This window comes from Homo sapiens, chromosome 22, assembly GCF_000001405.40.
Source record: "Homo sapiens chromosome 22, GRCh38.p14 Primary Assembly".
Lineage (NCBI taxonomy): Eukaryota > Metazoa > Chordata > Mammalia > Primates > Hominidae > Homo > Homo sapiens.
The window spans coordinates 15764636-15781923 of record NC_000022.11 but is presented as its reverse complement, the minus strand read 5'-3'; the positions used below and the strand labels follow the sequence as shown (position 1 = coordinate 15781923).

At 44.9% G+C, this 17288-nt stretch overlaps 1 long non-coding RNA gene across 1 annotated transcript in view, besides 1 other annotated feature; it reads right to left on the bottom strand.

The window, feature by feature from the left end:
* Positions 1–3636: 3636 nt before the first annotated feature.
* PSLNR (prostate enriched lncRNA) overlaps positions 3637–17288 on the bottom strand; it is a 37395-nt gene continuing 23743 nt past the window's right edge. The window contains exon 4 of the long non-coding RNA NR_132385.2: positions 3637–3914. This is a non-coding gene — a long non-coding RNA (prostate enriched lncRNA). The remainder of the gene's footprint in view (positions 3915–17288) is intronic.
* Positions 16585–17086: an enhancer, noted in NCBI's record as "OCT4 hESC enhancer chr22:16212624-16213125 (GRCh37/hg19 assembly coordinates)". NCBI's record gives its function as "activates a minimal SCP1, AML or CMV promoter by ChIP-STARR-seq in primed H9 embryonic stem cells {active_cell/tissue: H9 hESC(primed)}" and the evidence as "EXISTENCE:reporter gene assay evidence [ECO:0000049][PMID:30033119]".

Sequence of the window (17288 nt, the reverse complement as noted above, 5' to 3'; positions counted from 1 at the left end):
GCCTGGCTCTCTGTGGTGCTTTTCTCTCCCCTCCAAGCACCTGTGACTCCCAGGCCTCCAGCCCTGCCGGTTTCCCCCATCTGTGCTCCTGATGCAGGGGGAGGACTGTATTATGGCAGACAGCATGCTGGTTTACACAGTTCTGGGACAAAACTGTAGGTATACATTATTTTATGTCCCAAGTAAATGAATCCAATTTCTGGATGCTTTTTTGACACAGAGGGAAGAAATGCATTGGTGAGATCCATGAGCCAGAGCTCAGGTCCATGCTCAGGCTCTGGGAGCAGCTGTGCAGCTCTGGAGCTGTTGCGGGGCCCGGGGAAGGCGTAGGTGCTGTGTCTTTGCTCACTGTGTTAAAGGCTTTATTTGTTTCTTTGTTCAGTTTGTTTTCTTCAATCCCTGTTTAGCAATACTGAAAATCAAGCATTTCTAAGAGGCGGAGACCTTGATTTGGAGCAGGGGCGGGGCATTGGGTGGAAATGGAAAATAGGTTGATAGTGGGAATTTCATTTTCTGGAGCTCACGTGCAGCCTCTTGATGGCCCCGTCACAAGTTCACCTGATGACCTGAGTGGCCACTGTCCTTCTCCTGAGTGGTTTGCGTGCTTGCCAGGCACATGAGCAGTGCTTGCTCACATTCTTCAATTGAAGGAACTAAGAAGGGTTTGTCAGCAGATTGTAAGCCTGAAGCTGCCAGTGTTTGGTCCACAGTAAACCACATGTGGAGAGCTTTAAAAAATTGCCTTCAAATCTGGCAAGAAAATTACAGTAATAAATTATTACTATAATACACATATTTATTTAGTTACAATTATATATATAAAAAACAATTTTGCAGAAGTTTCCCATCTACCAGCATTTATTATTATTATTTTTTTTGCATGATAAGTTTCCAAGGAACCTTAGTGATGGGGACTGTCTCTTTTAAAATTAAATTGTGTAAATAACTCCCAGAGCCATGCTGGTAAGAAACAAAACAAAAAAAAAGAACTAGAAACTTGAAACAAATGTAGGATTTCTGCTGGTAAAAGGATGCAAAGCAGGCCTGCCTGCTGAACTTCCCCAGAGCTAATCCTTGAGCCAAAAGAGCTTCCTGGTGAAGCCTCGCACTCTCCGTAACAGGGTGTGGGGGGACCGAGACATGTGGGCTCCAGACTTGACCATCTTTACCTAGTTATGGGATTTCAATCATGTCTTTTAAATTCTTTGAGCTGCAGTTTTCACATATATAAAGTGGAAATATTTTTAAAATTTTAATTTGTATTATAACCTTGTGTAAAGATAAAATAGTACACTTGAAAGCATTTTAGCTGAAGTCAAACGTTCATGTGTGTGCATGCGATGGCTTAATTATTTTAGGGCTTATCCTGGTTTTACTGGTAGTGTTACTAGCACTGCTACTTCTCCATATCTCTGAAGACTATGAAATACTTAGAACTGAAGCAACAAGAAGCACCTGTTAAAGGGTTCTATGGCCGATGACAGATTTGACACAACTGGATATAATAATATGTTAGATGGTGACTAGAGCACTGCTGAGCAGAGACTTCATGCTGTTCAAAGTCGAAGGTGTCCCTAGAATTCTGAACCTGCTGAAGCAGCATTCAGAACTGAAGTTGAGAAAAGTACATTTTCAATTAAAGAAAGTCTGAGAGAATGTGTTGCCATCACACCCAAACCACAATAAATGCAAAAGAAAGCTGTTCAGCTTGAAGAAAAATGATAACAATTGGAAATTCTAGTTCTCAGAAAAGATGAAAGTGTGCCAAAAATAGTAAACATCTGGAGGGGAAACTGCTGTTTTAATGACATCCTCCAGGAATTACAACATGTGCAGAAGAAAAATCTATGACAACATGGCACAAAAGATGAGAGAAGGGAGGAGGGTAAGGTAAGGTTTTTATATTTTATATACAGTGTTATGATATTTAATATACTTTAAGTATTTTTATTTTAATTTCTAAAGAACTCACTAAAAATAAATAAATGAAACAAAGAGTCATAGTTAAGAAAAATACAATATACAAAATCCATACTAAAAAAAAAAGAAAACCCCATAAAACAAACAAACAAACAAATGAAAACTACAATAATCCAGAAGAAGACCAGGAAGGCAGAACAGAGACTGTCAAAGTAGGTAAAAAGGAAACCTCAATATCAGCTTTTAAAACGATATACACTTATGAGGTAAAGATACAAACAGATTCAAACTGAAAAGATGGACAAATATACACCATGCAAATCTTTGTTATCAAAAACTGCAGCCAGTGTATTAATGGCAGATAAGACAGACTACAAGAAAGACAAGCATCAACAGGGATAAAGAAGGATGTTTTATGCAATAAGTCCATTTGCTTAGAAAACCTAATAAGCATAAGCATGTATGCACCTAAGAAAAATAACAAAATACACGAAGCAAAAGTTATTGAATTAAAAGGATAAATGCATAAATCCACAATTTGACAATTCTAATTCTTATATCTCAGAAATTAATAGAAAAAAATAACTACGACAATAAGGCTACAAGGTATTAATAGGAGAGATTATAACCAGAGCACTGGGAGAAAAACAGCAATATCCAATATGCTTACAATATTGGTTGACAACTCAAAAGTTCCCAAAATAATTTTTGACACTAAAGGTAAATAGCCTGGAAAACCTAAAAGCCAGCATAGGAAGGAAGTGGAAAATGAAATGCTGATTGAAAATAAATCTGGAAGTCCGGGCGCGGTGGCTTATGCCTGTAATCCCAGCACTTTGGGAGACCAAGGTGGGTGGATCACCTGAGGTCAGGAGTTCGAGAAATTCTGTCTGTACCAAAAATACAAAATTAGCCAGGTGTGGCGGCACATGCTTGTAATCCCAGCTACTCGGAGGCTATGGCAGAAGAATCGCGTGAACCTGAGAGGCAGAGGTTGTGGTGAGCCGAGATCACCCCATTGCACTCCAGCCTAGGCAATAAGAGCAAAACTCCATCCCCCACCCCCCCAAAAAAAGAAAAGAAAAGAAATCTGAAGAAAGGAAAAGAGAATTGAGGATAAAGCTTTGGGATACAAAATCCAAAATCAAATGCTAGAAATAAGTTCAAATATATCACTTTTTCCTACCAAACATAGAAGGATTAACCTCATATATTAAAATACAAAATATCAGTAACAAAGCAGCACTTGCAAATTAAAGAAAGAAAAACAATGGGAATAAAAATTTTAAGTAAATATTCACAGAAAGCAAGCTGCTACCACAAAATTAATTTTAGTTCAAATAAAATTTAAGGAAGAAATAATGAACAACAGGATAGACACTGCACATGGAGGGACCATAGAACCGAGTAGGTGAAGCAACGTCAAGTCCAACGCTGGCCTCGCCTCCAGGACATACAAAGAAACTAACAGGAAGAGCAGGTCTAGAGAGGGACGCTGGAACTCATACTTCTGAATTTAAATGGGAAATAGACAAAAATGTTACGTGTTTATAAAAGATTTTAAAATCACAACAAATGCTGAATATACATCATTTCCTAGTATATGTAATACTTACTAAATGGGACTCATATTAGGTTGCAAAAGAAATTACAAAAAAACTGGAGCTAGGGACCAAAGGACTAACAGAAGTGAGAACAAAAAACACGCCCCATATATTTTAGGAAAAAACGGCACAGTGATTTAATGGTAAGTCACTATAAACATGAAGGGAAAGACTGCCATCCAAGGAAGCGCAGAAAAGGACACCCCTCAGGTCCTGGATGGAGGAGGATGACCCCCAATACTGGATGGAGAAGGATGCCCCCAGTCCTAGATGGAGAAGGATGCCCCCCTCAGTCCTGGATGGAGACGTCATGAGTAACTGTCGGTAGGAAACATCATGTTCTTCATTCTGCCCTTGCTCCTTGGGCTCCAACAGGAAAAACCAGAAATTCTGTGGATATAAAACATGGAAACATTCATTCTTTAAAGAAAAAGGCTGCAGAGACAAGAACAGCGAAAGGATGGTATTGAATACATGCAAATGGATAAAATATGAATGATTATGTTCTCATGTTCAACCCAATTTTTAAAAGTGGATGTATGAGCAGTGCGAGCATTTAGTCAGGCCATGGTGAGCCTGTGGGCAGCGGTGGCAAACCCGGACTCTGCCCGCCGACACCAGCGGCCCCGAAACCCTAGAGCCAGAGGCCACCTAGTGGCCAAAGTCAGGCAGTCGGCCCACAGCTGCAGGAGAGCTGCAACCCGCCCTTCAGCGGATTCCTGGAGGCTGCACAGTGCCCAGCTCCCGCCACCCGGTGCTCTGGGCGCGGGCAAATGACCCTCAGGCCGTCTGGGACCGGGCCAGCCCTGCAGCCTCAGCGGTGGACTCAGAGACGGCTGCCACGTGCACACGGTGAACTATAGCAGCTGTGGCAGCCCCCGACCCTGTGCAAGCCACCGGCAGTGCAGACCCCATGACCAAAAGCCGCCGCGTCCCCTAACTCAGACGGTCGGCCCCCCAGCAGCCAGAGGGAGGAAACCTGCAGCTCAGCCCCATCCCAGCGCTTGCACTGTGCTCAGCGCCTGTAATCCCACTCTCTGGGCGCGGACGAGGAAGACTGGACCTTACGGTGGGAGGGCGGTGCACTCGGGGACCCTCAAGCCTTCTGGAACAAGCCCTGCCATCCTCCGCCGCGGGCTCAGCGGCAGCTGCCACCTGCACACTCCTGGAAGCAGCAGCGGTGGCAGCTCTGGTCTCTGCCAGCTCCAGCAGGAGCGCAGACTGTAGAGCCAGAAGTCACTGCAGCGCGTGTTAGGAGGTTGGCCTCTCAGCCGCAGGAGGGCGGGAATCTGCACCCAACCAGATCCTCATGGCTGCACAGTGTCCAACGCCCACGACCCCGCAATCTGGGCGCTGGTCTAGGAATAACGGACCCTAGGGTGGAAAGGCGGTGCACTCACCCACCCTTGGGCAGCCTCAGGCCAGCCCTGCCAGCATCTGCCTTGGGCTCAGCTGCAGCTGGCGCCTGTGCATGGTGCACGGCAGTAGCAGTGGCAGCCCTGACCCTGCCCTCAGACACAAGCAGCAAAGACCCCAGGGCCGGACGCCTCCAAGGCACCTAAGTCAGGTGGCCGGTCCCATAGCTGCAAGAGGGCGGGAATCGGCTGCTCAGCCCCATAGCAGCTGTGGCAGCCCCCATCTCTGTCCATGCCACCAGTAGCACGAACCCCACGGCCAGATAATGCGGTGGCGCCTAATTCAGACTGTAGCTGCGGCAAGGCGGGAATCGGCCGCTCAGCCCCATCCTGGAGGCTGCTCAGTGTCTAGCGCTCGCACACCACGTCCTGGGAGCAGTCTAAGGAACAGGAGACTCTAGGGTGGTAGGGCGGTGCACTCAGCGACCCTCAGGGTGTCTGGGACCAGCCCTGCCAGCCTCTGCCATGCTCTCAGCTGCAGCTACCATCGCCAGGTGGCGCCCGTTAGCAATGGTGGAAACCACACCCCCATCCCCCGACCTTGCCTGCCCCCAACAGCAGTGCAGATTCCATGGCTGGATGCCTTGCCAGGGCGGGAACCAGCCGCACAGCCTATTCTGGGCAGCTGCACAGGGCCCAGCGCCCGAAACCCCGAGCTCTGGGCGCGTGCCAAGGAAGAGTGCACCCTAGGCTGGGAGGGTGGTGCACACCGCGATCCTCAGGCTTTCTGGGACCAACCCTGCCGACCTCTACTGAGAGCTCAGCTGCAGCTGCCACCTGTACAAGGGCACGACAGCAGCAGAGCAACCCGGCACTTTGCCTGCACCAGAGCCCTGACACCGGGGACAACGCAGCCTCAGCGCCTAATTCAGGCAGTCAGCCCCGCAGCTGCAGCAGGGCAGAAACCTTTGCCCTCGGCCCAGTCTCCTTGGCTGCACAGTTCCCAGTGCCCGCGACCCGGAACTCTGGGCTCAGGCAAAGGAACAGCGGACCCTAGGGTGGGATAGTGGTCCACTCAATGACCCTGAGGCTGCCTGGGAAACGCCTTGCCAGCCTCCGTCATGGGCTCAGCTGCAGCAGCCACCTGCACATGGCGGGGGAGCAGCCTTGATGGCAACCCCAGACCACGCTTTCACGCCAGCCAGGCAGACTCCAGGGCCAGGCGCCGCCCAGCGGCCAATTCAGGTGGTCCGGCCCCAGCTTCAGGAGGGCGGGAACCGGCAGCTCAGCCATTTCCTGGCGGCTGCCCTGTGCCCAGCCCCTGCACACCCTGATCTGGGCACCTACAAGAAAGAGCTGACTCTAGGGTGAAAGGGCCGTCCACTCAGCGACCCCCAGGCTGTCTGGGACCAGCCCTGCCTGCCTCTGCTGTAGATTCAGCTGCAGTGGTAACCTGCACAAGGCGCGCAGCAGCAGCTGTGGCAAATTCTGACCCTGCCAGCGCCACCAGCAGCGCGGACCCTTGGGCCAGAAGCCTCCACGACGCCTAAGTCAGGGGTGTTGGTCCCCAGCCGCAGGAGGGCAGAAACTGGCTCTCAGCCTCACCTCAGAGGCTGCATGGTGCCAGAGCCAGGGCCCAGCTCTTCTAGCGCAGGTTGTGGAGGGGCCAGGGGCCCCCCAGGCTGGAGAGGCCCCCCCAGGCTGGAGAGCAGCGTCATGAACACAGCTTACTGAAGCCTCATCCTCCCAGATTCAAGCTACCCTCTCATCTCAGCCTCCCGAGTAGCTGGTAGCTGGGACTACAGGCGGGTGCCATCATGCCTGTATTATATTTTACATACATTTTGGAGAGACAGGGTCTCACCATGTTGCCCAGGCAGATCTTGAAAGCCTGCAGTTCAAATGATCCTCTCACCTTGACCTCTCTCAGTGGTGGGATTATATGTGTGAGCCACTGTGCCCTACCTGCCGCTTTTCTTATAAGGATACTTGTCATTGGATTTAGGGCCCATCCTAATCATCTCAAGGTGCTGGATTTAATTACATCTGCAGATTGTTTTCCAAATAAAGGCACATTCACATGTTCCAGGTAGACATATCTTTTGATAGACCACCATGCAATCCACTCTAGGAGTATTAAAGTGCCAGTGTGGACTGAGGCACCAAAGAATCACATTATGATGTCATATAACTTGCCTTATTTGTAGTGACCAGTGGGCTTGGAAACAACCATTTGCAGCTGTCAGGGAAGTGCACAGTGCCTGACCTTTCCCGCAGCCTCCTCCCCACTGGTCTTCCATGAGAGGATCAACCCTTGGAGTGTCCAGAGATTCCTGTTAAATGCTAAAGACCACAGGAGAGTTTGGGAGGGGGAAGATGTTTGGGGAGCAGCTTAGTTGTCCTGAGGTGCCCATCACCCTTCACCGTTTCAGCAATATGGATCTTCCAAGGATCTGGGAATGGGAACCAGGCATAAGACAGATACATGTGGATGAGAAGAGGCCAGAGTCTTTCTCTGTGTAGGCACCATCCAGCCCAAGATGAGCATTGCTCCAGAAACACATGCACTCATGATGCTAAACCCAATCTATTGAGGACTTAATACAAACTGCGATTTTTTTAAAGCATTTAATTCTTACCACAGTCCTTTGACATCTTATTATATCCATTTTACAGATAAAGAAACAGGCACAGAGGGTTTAAGTAACTTGCACAAGGTCACACAATCACAACTAGTAAAGCCAGAATTAAAGTCCAGTCAGTCTGCATTCAAAGCCTGTGCTCCTGCCCCAAAGTGACAATTAGTGACTTAAAGGCAAGAAAAACAGACCCTCCTCTACCCACCATCCTCATACACAGCCTTCCAGCCCAGGATCTGAACCATTTATTCATTTTCTCTCATATTCATTCATTCATTCAATTCTTCATCACACATTTAGTGAAGCTCTGCCGTGGAATGTTCACACAGAAGGTACAAAAATGAGGCAGGTGTATTTTCTCCCATCTAACAGGGGATGACCACATGAAAAGAACTGGTGGCCTGTGTGTCCCATGGTCTTACAGGGCAGTGGTGGAGGGTGGCCCGGTCATCCACTTTCTGGGGAGGCAGAACCAGAAGCACCAGTTGGACAACTGCTAAAAAGATATTTATGCAGCCTCATATGTTAAGTCGTATATTTTGAAAGCTTTTTAAATTTTTTCTTTAAGAAGATTTTAGATGCTTATCACTGAGTACCAGAGGGATGTAGGCTGATGCCCTTATCAACAAAGTCAGGGACTGTGGCACACAAGGATTGACTACTGCAGACACGGTCACAATGCTACCTCTAGAGGGCCTGAATCCCCCTGCCCTCTCTGGTGGGGAGAAGGGCTGGCAGAGCCATTAGCATGGGCTCCGGCCAATCCTGGCCACTTTGACACTCCTGGTGCTGACCCAGGGTCCTGGAGGAAGGGATGAGGTGGGCAGTAGAGATGCTCAGGGCAGTGGCCCCTTTCCATCCACACTGGAACTATTTCAATATTTTACCACCAATTCAGCCATTCCCTTGTGCGCTGGCTGAACATCAGCCCTGCTCCAGGTCTCAGTTTCCCCTTTGTAAAGGGAAAGCTCTGGATTCAGGAGTGATGAGAGGTCATCATGGTCTTGAGATTCCAGGCCTGTAGGCAGGGGGTGAGAGGTTCACTAGGAGCACAGAAGGAAAAGATTGGGGAGAGGCAGCAGAGAGAGTGGCTTCCCTTCGGCCCAGGTGGGAGGTTCACAGAGGCAAACTTCCTTCTTCCTCAAGGCAGGACTTGTTACAGTGAGCTTCAGGCAGTCTGGCTCTTAGGACTAACTGGGATGTCACCCTCCCTGCAGCATCCACTCCACAGACAACATGAGAGGAGTGTGTAAGTATAACTAGGAACAGGCTAGTGTCCTGATATTCTCTGTGATGGAGGGGACAGCCCTCCTCAGAGACGTGGGGGAGCCCAGAACCATGGGCAGCCTGAACACACCTTACTTTCTCAGCAGTGACAATCAGAACCTTGGCCTACTAAAGCAGAAATTAAAAAGAGAAAAACCTAAGTTCTGGCCTGTTCCAGGCTGACTCAGTCCAAGGCCCTGCTAGGACTAAGATAACTTTATATACAAGGCCAGGAAGAGCCCAGAAGGAATGGACTCCAGGAACAGGGATGAGAAAAACAAGTTCTTATCAGCTTCCCCCTTTGAGATTCTTTCCCAGGCCAATATTTCTTTGCTCTGCTCTCATAACTATTTTTGTAACTATTTCTGTAAGTTTATAAGGATTTTTTAAGTTCCTGTTTTCCATCGGTGTGACCCTGAGAAGGTCACAAGACATGCCTGTGCAAGCCTAAAACAGTTGCCATCTGCTGAGAGCCTGCTGGGTGGCCCAGCAGAGGTCACCAGACATGTTTGAGTCATACACTTGTCACTGTTTGATTAACTGCCTTTGTTCTGCTTCTGTAAGCTTGCTAAGCCTGCCCTGTAAGTTTTTCAAAGCTGCATGCTTAAAAAACAGGCCCCATCTTTTTTCCGGGCTCAGCCTTTTGGATGCAAATCCACTGGGCAAGTGGTCATTTTAATAAAATCCTCCTGTCTCACCCATTGGTCTCTCCAGTCTCTTGACTCCCTCAACACTGAGACGGCTCCAAGGTAGCATGTGAGATTTAAGTAATAACTTTTTTGTTTGTTTGTTTGTTTTTATTTTTGTATGAGACTGGGTCTGGCTTTTTCACCCAGGCTGAAGTGCAGTGGTGCAGTCACAGCTCACTGCAGCCACTTCCTGGGCTCAAGCCACCCTCCCACCTCAGCTTCCCAGGTAACTTAGGACTACAGGTGTACACCACTATCATTGGCTAATTTTTGTATTTTTTCCAGAGACAAGGTCTCACTGTCTCACTGAGCTCAGGCTGGTCTCAAATTCTTGAGCTCAAGAGATTTACCAGTCTCAGCCTTCCAAAGTGCTAGGATTACAGGCATGAGACACTGTGCCTGGCCAGTAATTTTGTTTTATTATATTAAGGTCAGGTTTATACCACTTTCTTCTGATTACAGAAGTAATACATGCTCATTGTATAACACTGAAAATGTAAGCAGTATAAAGAAGAAAATAAAAAAGAATATGAAAATCACTAGTGGTCCCATTGCCTACCGATACACTATGTGCTGCTTTCTAATCTTTACTTACTCTCCCTCCATGTGTGTCTTTGTGTGTGTGTGTGTCCGTCTGTGTGTTTTTTTTTTTGGCACATAGGACAATAGCTGACATTTATAGCTCCCCTACCAGTGTTGAGCATTATGTTAAGCAATTGAAAAAGTGTATTTTAACTCCTACAGAAAACCTATAAAGGGGAAGGGCAGTATAATTAACAGAATTTTCCAGATGAAAAGACTGGGACCTGACTTCAGGTCACATTTTATATACAGCATTACATTTTACTTCAGACACTTAACAAAGTAAGTGTCCTGGAGAATCTTGGTCTGTTAGTCTATATAATTACATAAGCATCTTTTGTGGGATTAATAGTTTTTCCAAAGCATGCCTGGAATGCTTGCATAACATTTTAGAGTTTAAATATGTTGTTTATCGCCAGGCACGGTGGCTCACACCTGTAATCCCAGCATTTTGGGAATCTGAGGAAGGTGGATTGCCTGAGCTCAGGAGTTTGACACCAGCCTAGCCAACACGGTGAAACCCCATCTCTACTAAAATACAAAAAAATAGCCAGGCATGGTGGGGTGTGCCTGTATTCCCAGCTACTTGGGAGGCTGAGGCAGGAGAAATGCTTGAATCTGGAAGGTGGAGGTTGTGGTAAGCCGAGATTGCACCACTGCACCCCAGCCTGGGCAAGAGTGAGACCTTGTCTCAAAAAAAAAATAATTTTATCAAACCATTTTCATCTTTGAAACATTTTAGGTCTCCTCTTTGGCTTTTTCACATTATAAATAATACTGTGATAAACATCCTTCAGCAGAAACCTTCATAGGCTAGCTTCCTAGAAGTAGAGGTATTAGGTCCAAGGTTGTGAATTGTTTTAAAGCTATTGATTTTTCTGGATAAAATTGCTTCCAGATATATTGTCCCATTGCATTGCAATCAGTGGATCTCACCTTCAGTATTTTGTGCAAAAAAAAAAGAATGTTTCTCCTTTTAAAGATTATATTTAAAATAGCTTTCAAATATTAAAAATTTGTATCTACAAATAAGAGACAGTGAAAAAATTAATAAAAGAAACACAAAAGTAGAAAGTAGATGAAAACATTAAAATTCAGATCACAGCCCTCTGTCATGGAGAAGACAGCTGCAATAGCTTTTTTGTTCTTTTATCTATCCTTGATACATTTTTCTTTTAATTAATTTTTACCCCAACTTTTAGTGCTGGCTGAGTTGTCGATTTGTTGCTGGGATGGAAAGAAGAAATTTGCACCTTGTCCTTTGCAGGTTATGAGAGCCCTGTCTGTCCTCGTGGTTATGTGGATGTCTTTTAGATTATTGTGAATATTGAGCTTTGAAAATAACCTAACAGTCAATCAATTGCTGAGATTCTATTACCAGTAGTGGGACACAATGTACATCATGTAGAGAGGCAGACTCGTCGCTGACAAAAGGGCTGACCCCTGGAAAACCAGCACAGAGCCAGCTCTTCTGTCTGAATCCACTCTCTCCAAAACATAACATAAGTCATGGAAAGAAATGAGTCTCAAGAAATGAGACTCTTACCGTGATGAGAGGGGGACATTGAAAAGCTACTTTAGTGATTAGGGAGAGAAGTCCCCTTTTGCATCCCAAATCAAGCAGAGGACTGGTAGTCCAAATATAATTTTGGAATAACCTGAGTCACCTGGGCCTTGAGGAATCCTGGCCTCTTAGTCCACATTTGCAGAAATATCAGGAGGTCAATCAGGAAGCTGTTTAGGCATCTCAACACAGGGTCAAAAAGCTCCTAGGTACACAAATAAATGTGCACACTGGAAATTGAGTTCAGTAATTTTTCCATGGCCTAGAGAACTATGATGATGAAAATGTTCTACATTTGTGCTGGCCAGTTCAGTAGCCACTAGCCACATGTGGCTATTGAGTAACTGAAATGTGGCTAGTACAACTGACCAACTAAATTGTAAATTTTGTTTTATTTGAATTAATTTTAATTTTAATAGTCATCTGTGGCTATTGGCTACTGTACTGGGTAGCACAGAGATGAGAAATAATAGAAACCTTTTTGTTCGGTTGTTTCAAGAGCTAACATTGTCAAAAGCTCAATTCCTGTTTTATGTAAGGTTTTGGTTTATATTTTCTCAAAGAAGTGAAGTGCAGAAAAAAGAAAACAAAACAAAAGGATGATCAAGCAGAACTTGAAGGGTGAAGCAGAGATACTTAACTCAGGGTGGGGACAACAGCAATGACCTTGTTTGAAATGCAGCTCCTGTCTCTGTGGCTCTCTGTGCTCTGCTGGGGCATCAGTTCCTTTACTTCTTAGTTAAAGCAGTTATTTCGATGGTGCAACGCTTTTTTGGTGCAATGATTTTTTACACAGCTGGTTTATCTCCAGTATGGAAGCTCTCTGCTTAATCATCTTGATTTTTCTGGGCTTGTTCCCACTCTGCAGATGTAAGCATGACACCTGTATCTCTCTCCCCAGGCTCTGATCTAGGACGACAGTTTCTATGATGTGCCCATCTAGAGAAATACTCAAATTGCAACTTTAGGAAGAGAAAAAGAGGGCCCTGCAAAAGGCATCTACAGGCCCCATGTGCTGTTCACCTTTCTTATTTATGGGTGAAGTGAGTCCTCATCCATTTATTGGGCAGTTACAAGCAAAGGAATTATATGACTACGACAACACACCCTGAGGTACAACAATTTTGTCTGTTTTGAGTTTCCACTGTTGAAAAAAACCTAGTTATTCTAATTAAGAATAGTTATAGATAGTACAGTGATAACATTTTTTTTTGAGACAGGCTCTTGCTCTGTCCCCAGATTGGAATGCAGCAGCATGATCATGGCTCACTGCAGCCTCAACCTCCCTGGGCTCAGTGATTCTCCCACCTCAGTCTCCTGAGTAACTGGGAATGCAACACATGCCACCATGCCTAAATATTTTTTGGATTTTGTTTTCTTTTGTAGAGATGGGGCTTTGCCATGTCACCTAGGCTGGTATTGACCTTCTGGACTCAAGTGATCCTCTCTCCTCAGCCTCCCAAAGTGCTAGGATTACAGGTGTGAACCAGCATGCCATGCCTATAGTGATATCTTTAAGTAAGCCTCTCCTATCTTCTTTTGAGCAGTTTTTCAAAGCAACAGGCACCTTATTAAATTAGAAAGTTGATGTGTTTCCCGAATGCCTGCTAATAAAGTAGAGAACTAAAGAACCTCTGTGATTTCAATGAAGTCCATTCAGATGTTATGGGCTACTTGTTACTGACAAGTATGGTAGGAAATGTAGGTCAAGCTGTCATAGGCAAATAGATCTTGCTGAAGAGGAAGAATTATTGGCTAAGATAACACCCTAGAACACCTGGCATACTTTAGACACAGCTAAATTGAATGCTTTCTGAGGAGGAGTGTATTAATCTGTTCTCACACTGCTATAAAGATATACATGAGAGTGGGTAATTGAAAAAGAAAAGGGATTGAATTGGCTCACAGTTCTGTGGGCTGTACAGACTTATGCTTATAGGGAGGCCTCAGGAAACTTACAATCATGGCAGAAGGTGAAAAGGAGGCAAGCACATATTCACATGGCTGAAAAGAGTCAGGGGAGGTGCTACACACTTTTTAAACAAGCAGATCTCAGGAGAACTTTATCATCAGACAGCACGAGGTGGATGAGGCTAAACCATTAGAAACCACCTCTATGATCCAGTCACCTTCCAGCAAGCCCCTCCTCCAACACTGACAATTACAATTCCATATGAGATTGGGGGTGGGGGGTGCACAAATCCAAACCATGTCAAGAAGCATTTTAAAAATTGAGGGAAGTTCTAATCAGATAGCAATTGAGGACAGGGCATTTCATCAGCATAACACTCCTCTCAATACATGCCAAAATGGGAAAAAGGAAAAATTGCAAGGACGAAGATGGGACACAGCAAAATGACAAGATGACTAACAAGATGACCCCTGTGGAAAGCATTTACTGATTCAAAAACCAAATAATGAAGAAAATAAGAGCAAATTTGCTGAGTTTATATGCTCTTTATGCTTATTAGGGAAGGGCAGAAGCCAGCCCCTCAACATTGTTATTATTAATTAACATCATCACCACCTGCTCTTAAGTGTCTAGATACTTTCTAGAATCTAGTATTATCTTCACTCAAATGTTTTTTGGATATGCCCTTCGTGCATGTGATACTGCAAAAACATTCTACATTAGCCACAGCAAGATGGCTATGTAATAATTGGGATCACTTTAGGGGAGGCTATTTGTACCACATTTTGAGACAGAAAATGAAGTAAAGATGTCCATTTGTCAATTTCTTCTACGTTATGTCAAACATTCAAAGAGCTTATTTTATTTATTTCAAAGATGTATACATGTTGAAATTAAAATTTAAATTAAGAAAATGTATAAACTGAGTCAAAAGAAAAGTAAGTGAGGCAGTTGGTTAATGTGTCGGTTAATGCCACCATAGTTCTGCATGCCCTGGAAGTGTCAGGCATAAACAACTCTAAAGTATTCGGCATGCAGCCAGGTGTGGCAACTCATGCTGTCATTCCAGGACGTTGAGAGGCTAAGGCAGGTGGGTTGCTTGAGCTCAGAACTTTCAGACCAAGCAAGGGCACATGGTGGAACCCCGTCTCTATGAAAAATATGAAAATTAGCCAAGCATGGTGGTGCCCGCTTTTAGTACCAGCTACTGGAAAGGCTGAGACGATCATTTGACCCCAGGAGGTTGAGGCTGCAGTAAGCTCTGGTTGCACCACTGCACTCCAGCCTGGGTGAAAGAGGGAAACCCTCTGCCCAGGACTCTTGGGATATGACTATATCCATAGGGACTGCCCGCAGTAACCTCACATTTGAGTGGAAGTGGAGATCGTATGTACCTACACCAATATGTAGCAAAAAAAGAAAAACAGAAATGATAGCAGAAATGGCCCAAAGAATAAAAGAAGGTGGGGGTAATTGAGAGAGGCTTTCTGCTGATAAAATTTGAACTGATTTCTGGAGAATGGGTTTAATTCCAATAGGGGGAGATGGACCAAATTTAATTTTGATGAGGGAAATGTCTTGAGCAAAATCTAGAAAAGGAAAATATGCCCATTTTAAGTTTTAATGAGTGGTCCAGTTGGGGCACAGTGCAAGAAGAGAGTTCTAGTGAAAAGGTAGTTGGTCTGATAGGTCAGGGTCTTGCAGGCAGAGGCAGATACTATCATTATTCCGTTTTTCAGATTGGAAAACAGACACAGAGAGTCCAAGGTCACAAAGACAGAAAGGGAATCTGGGCAGTCTAGCAGTAGCACCCTCTTCTTAAATGATCCGTTAAAGGGCCTCTTCTCCAGGCACTCTAAAACCCTTCTCCATCTTTAGTTCCCCAGAGTACAGTGAGGCCCCCTGTCTACCTCACAGGACGGGGTCTCAGAAAAGCAACAGATCCCAACTCATACTAGCTTTTAAATAAAAAAAATTATAACCTTGCAAAACAAGAAGTGCAGAGGTTGGGCAAGAGCCAGCCCTGGTTCATTCAGCAGCTCAACAATAAATCCAAGGACTTGGGTATTGGTTCACCTCTCCACACCACCGTCCTCATGGGCCAGCTTCTACCTCCTCCTGAATACTGTGTCTTTGCCTAGTTTTCTCCCTGATTTTGGCTCAATTGCTGCTTCCTGGAGGCATCCTTTCCTGCCTCTGTCTTGGGGTCAGTCCGCCTTCACAGGCTCTTGCAGCACACCTGGGTCTGCTGCACTTTCCCTTATTACATAATTTTGTGACTAATGTCAGCTCTTTCTGTTAGATTCTAAGCTCCACTAGGGAAGAAATTCTGTGCATTTTTGATCACTATTGAACCCTGGAGTCTACCACTCAAATATTTGTCAAATGAGTAAATGGTAGCTCTGTGCAGGGCCAAGGAACCCAAGAACCACAAGAAATAATCTGCCAAAATAGTCATTACAGCTCACTCTCCTCTGGTGACATTTCCCTGAGGCACATTCCTGTTGGTTTCTTCCCCTCAAGAAGCATTCTTCTTTCTCCTTCCTATAAAAGCCAGGTTTTTCTCAGATAGCCACACCATGCCCCATGCAAAGAGATTTGGATTATTATACCATCTTGAAGCATTTCTGTGGAAACTGCTATCAGCCAGGTGGCCCATGACCTAAGTTGACCCAAGCCAACTGAAGGGAGGATGTATTCTATGCACCGTATGGAATTCCACAGGGTGCTGGTTTCCCCAGCTGCTGCTGGTGGTCATCATGTAGTGAAGATATTTCTTTTTTCAGCATAGGCCTCAAAGGGTTCCAAATATCCACTTGCAGATTCTACAAAAAGACGGGTTCCAAACTGCTCAATCAAAAGAAATGTTCAATTCTGTGAGATGAATGCACACATCACAAAGAAGTTTCTCAGAATGCTTCTGTCTAGTTTTTATGTGAAGATATTCCCTTTTCCACCACAGGCCTCAAAGCGCTCCAAATATCCACTCGCGGTTTCTGCAAAAAGAGTGTTTCAAAACTTCTCAATCAAAAGAAAGGTTCAACTCTGTGAGATGAATGCACACATCACAAAGAAGTTTCTCAGAATGCTTCTGTCTAGTTTTTATGTGAAGATATTCCCTTTTCCACCACAGGCCTCAAAGCGCTCCAAATATCCACTCGCGGTTTCTGCAAAAAGAGTGTTTCAAAACTTCTCAATCAAAAGAAAGGTTCAACTCTGTGAGATGAATGCACACATCACAACGAAGTTTCTCAGAATGCTTCTGTCTAGTTTTTACGTGAAGATATTTCCTTTTCCACCATAGGCCTCAAAGCACTCCAATTATCCACTTGCAGATTCTACAAAAAGAGTGTTTCAAAACTGCTCAATCAAAAGAAAGCTTCAACTCTGTGAGATGAATGCACACATCACAACGAAGTTTCTCAGAATGCTTCTGTCTAGTTTTTAAGTAAAGATATTTCCTTTTTCACCATAGGCCTCAAAGTGCTCCAAATATCCATTTGCAGATACTACAAAAAGACTGTTTCCAAACTGCTCAATCAAAAGAAAGGTTCAACTCTGTGAGATGAAAGCACATATCACAAAGAAGTTTCCCAGAAAGTTTCTGTCTAGTTTTTATGTGAAGATATTTCCTATTGCCCCATTGGCCACAATGGTCTCACAAATATCCCTTTGCAGATTCTACTAAACGACTGTTTACAAACTGCTCAATCAAAAGAAATATTCAACTCTGTGAGATGAAAGCACACATCACAAA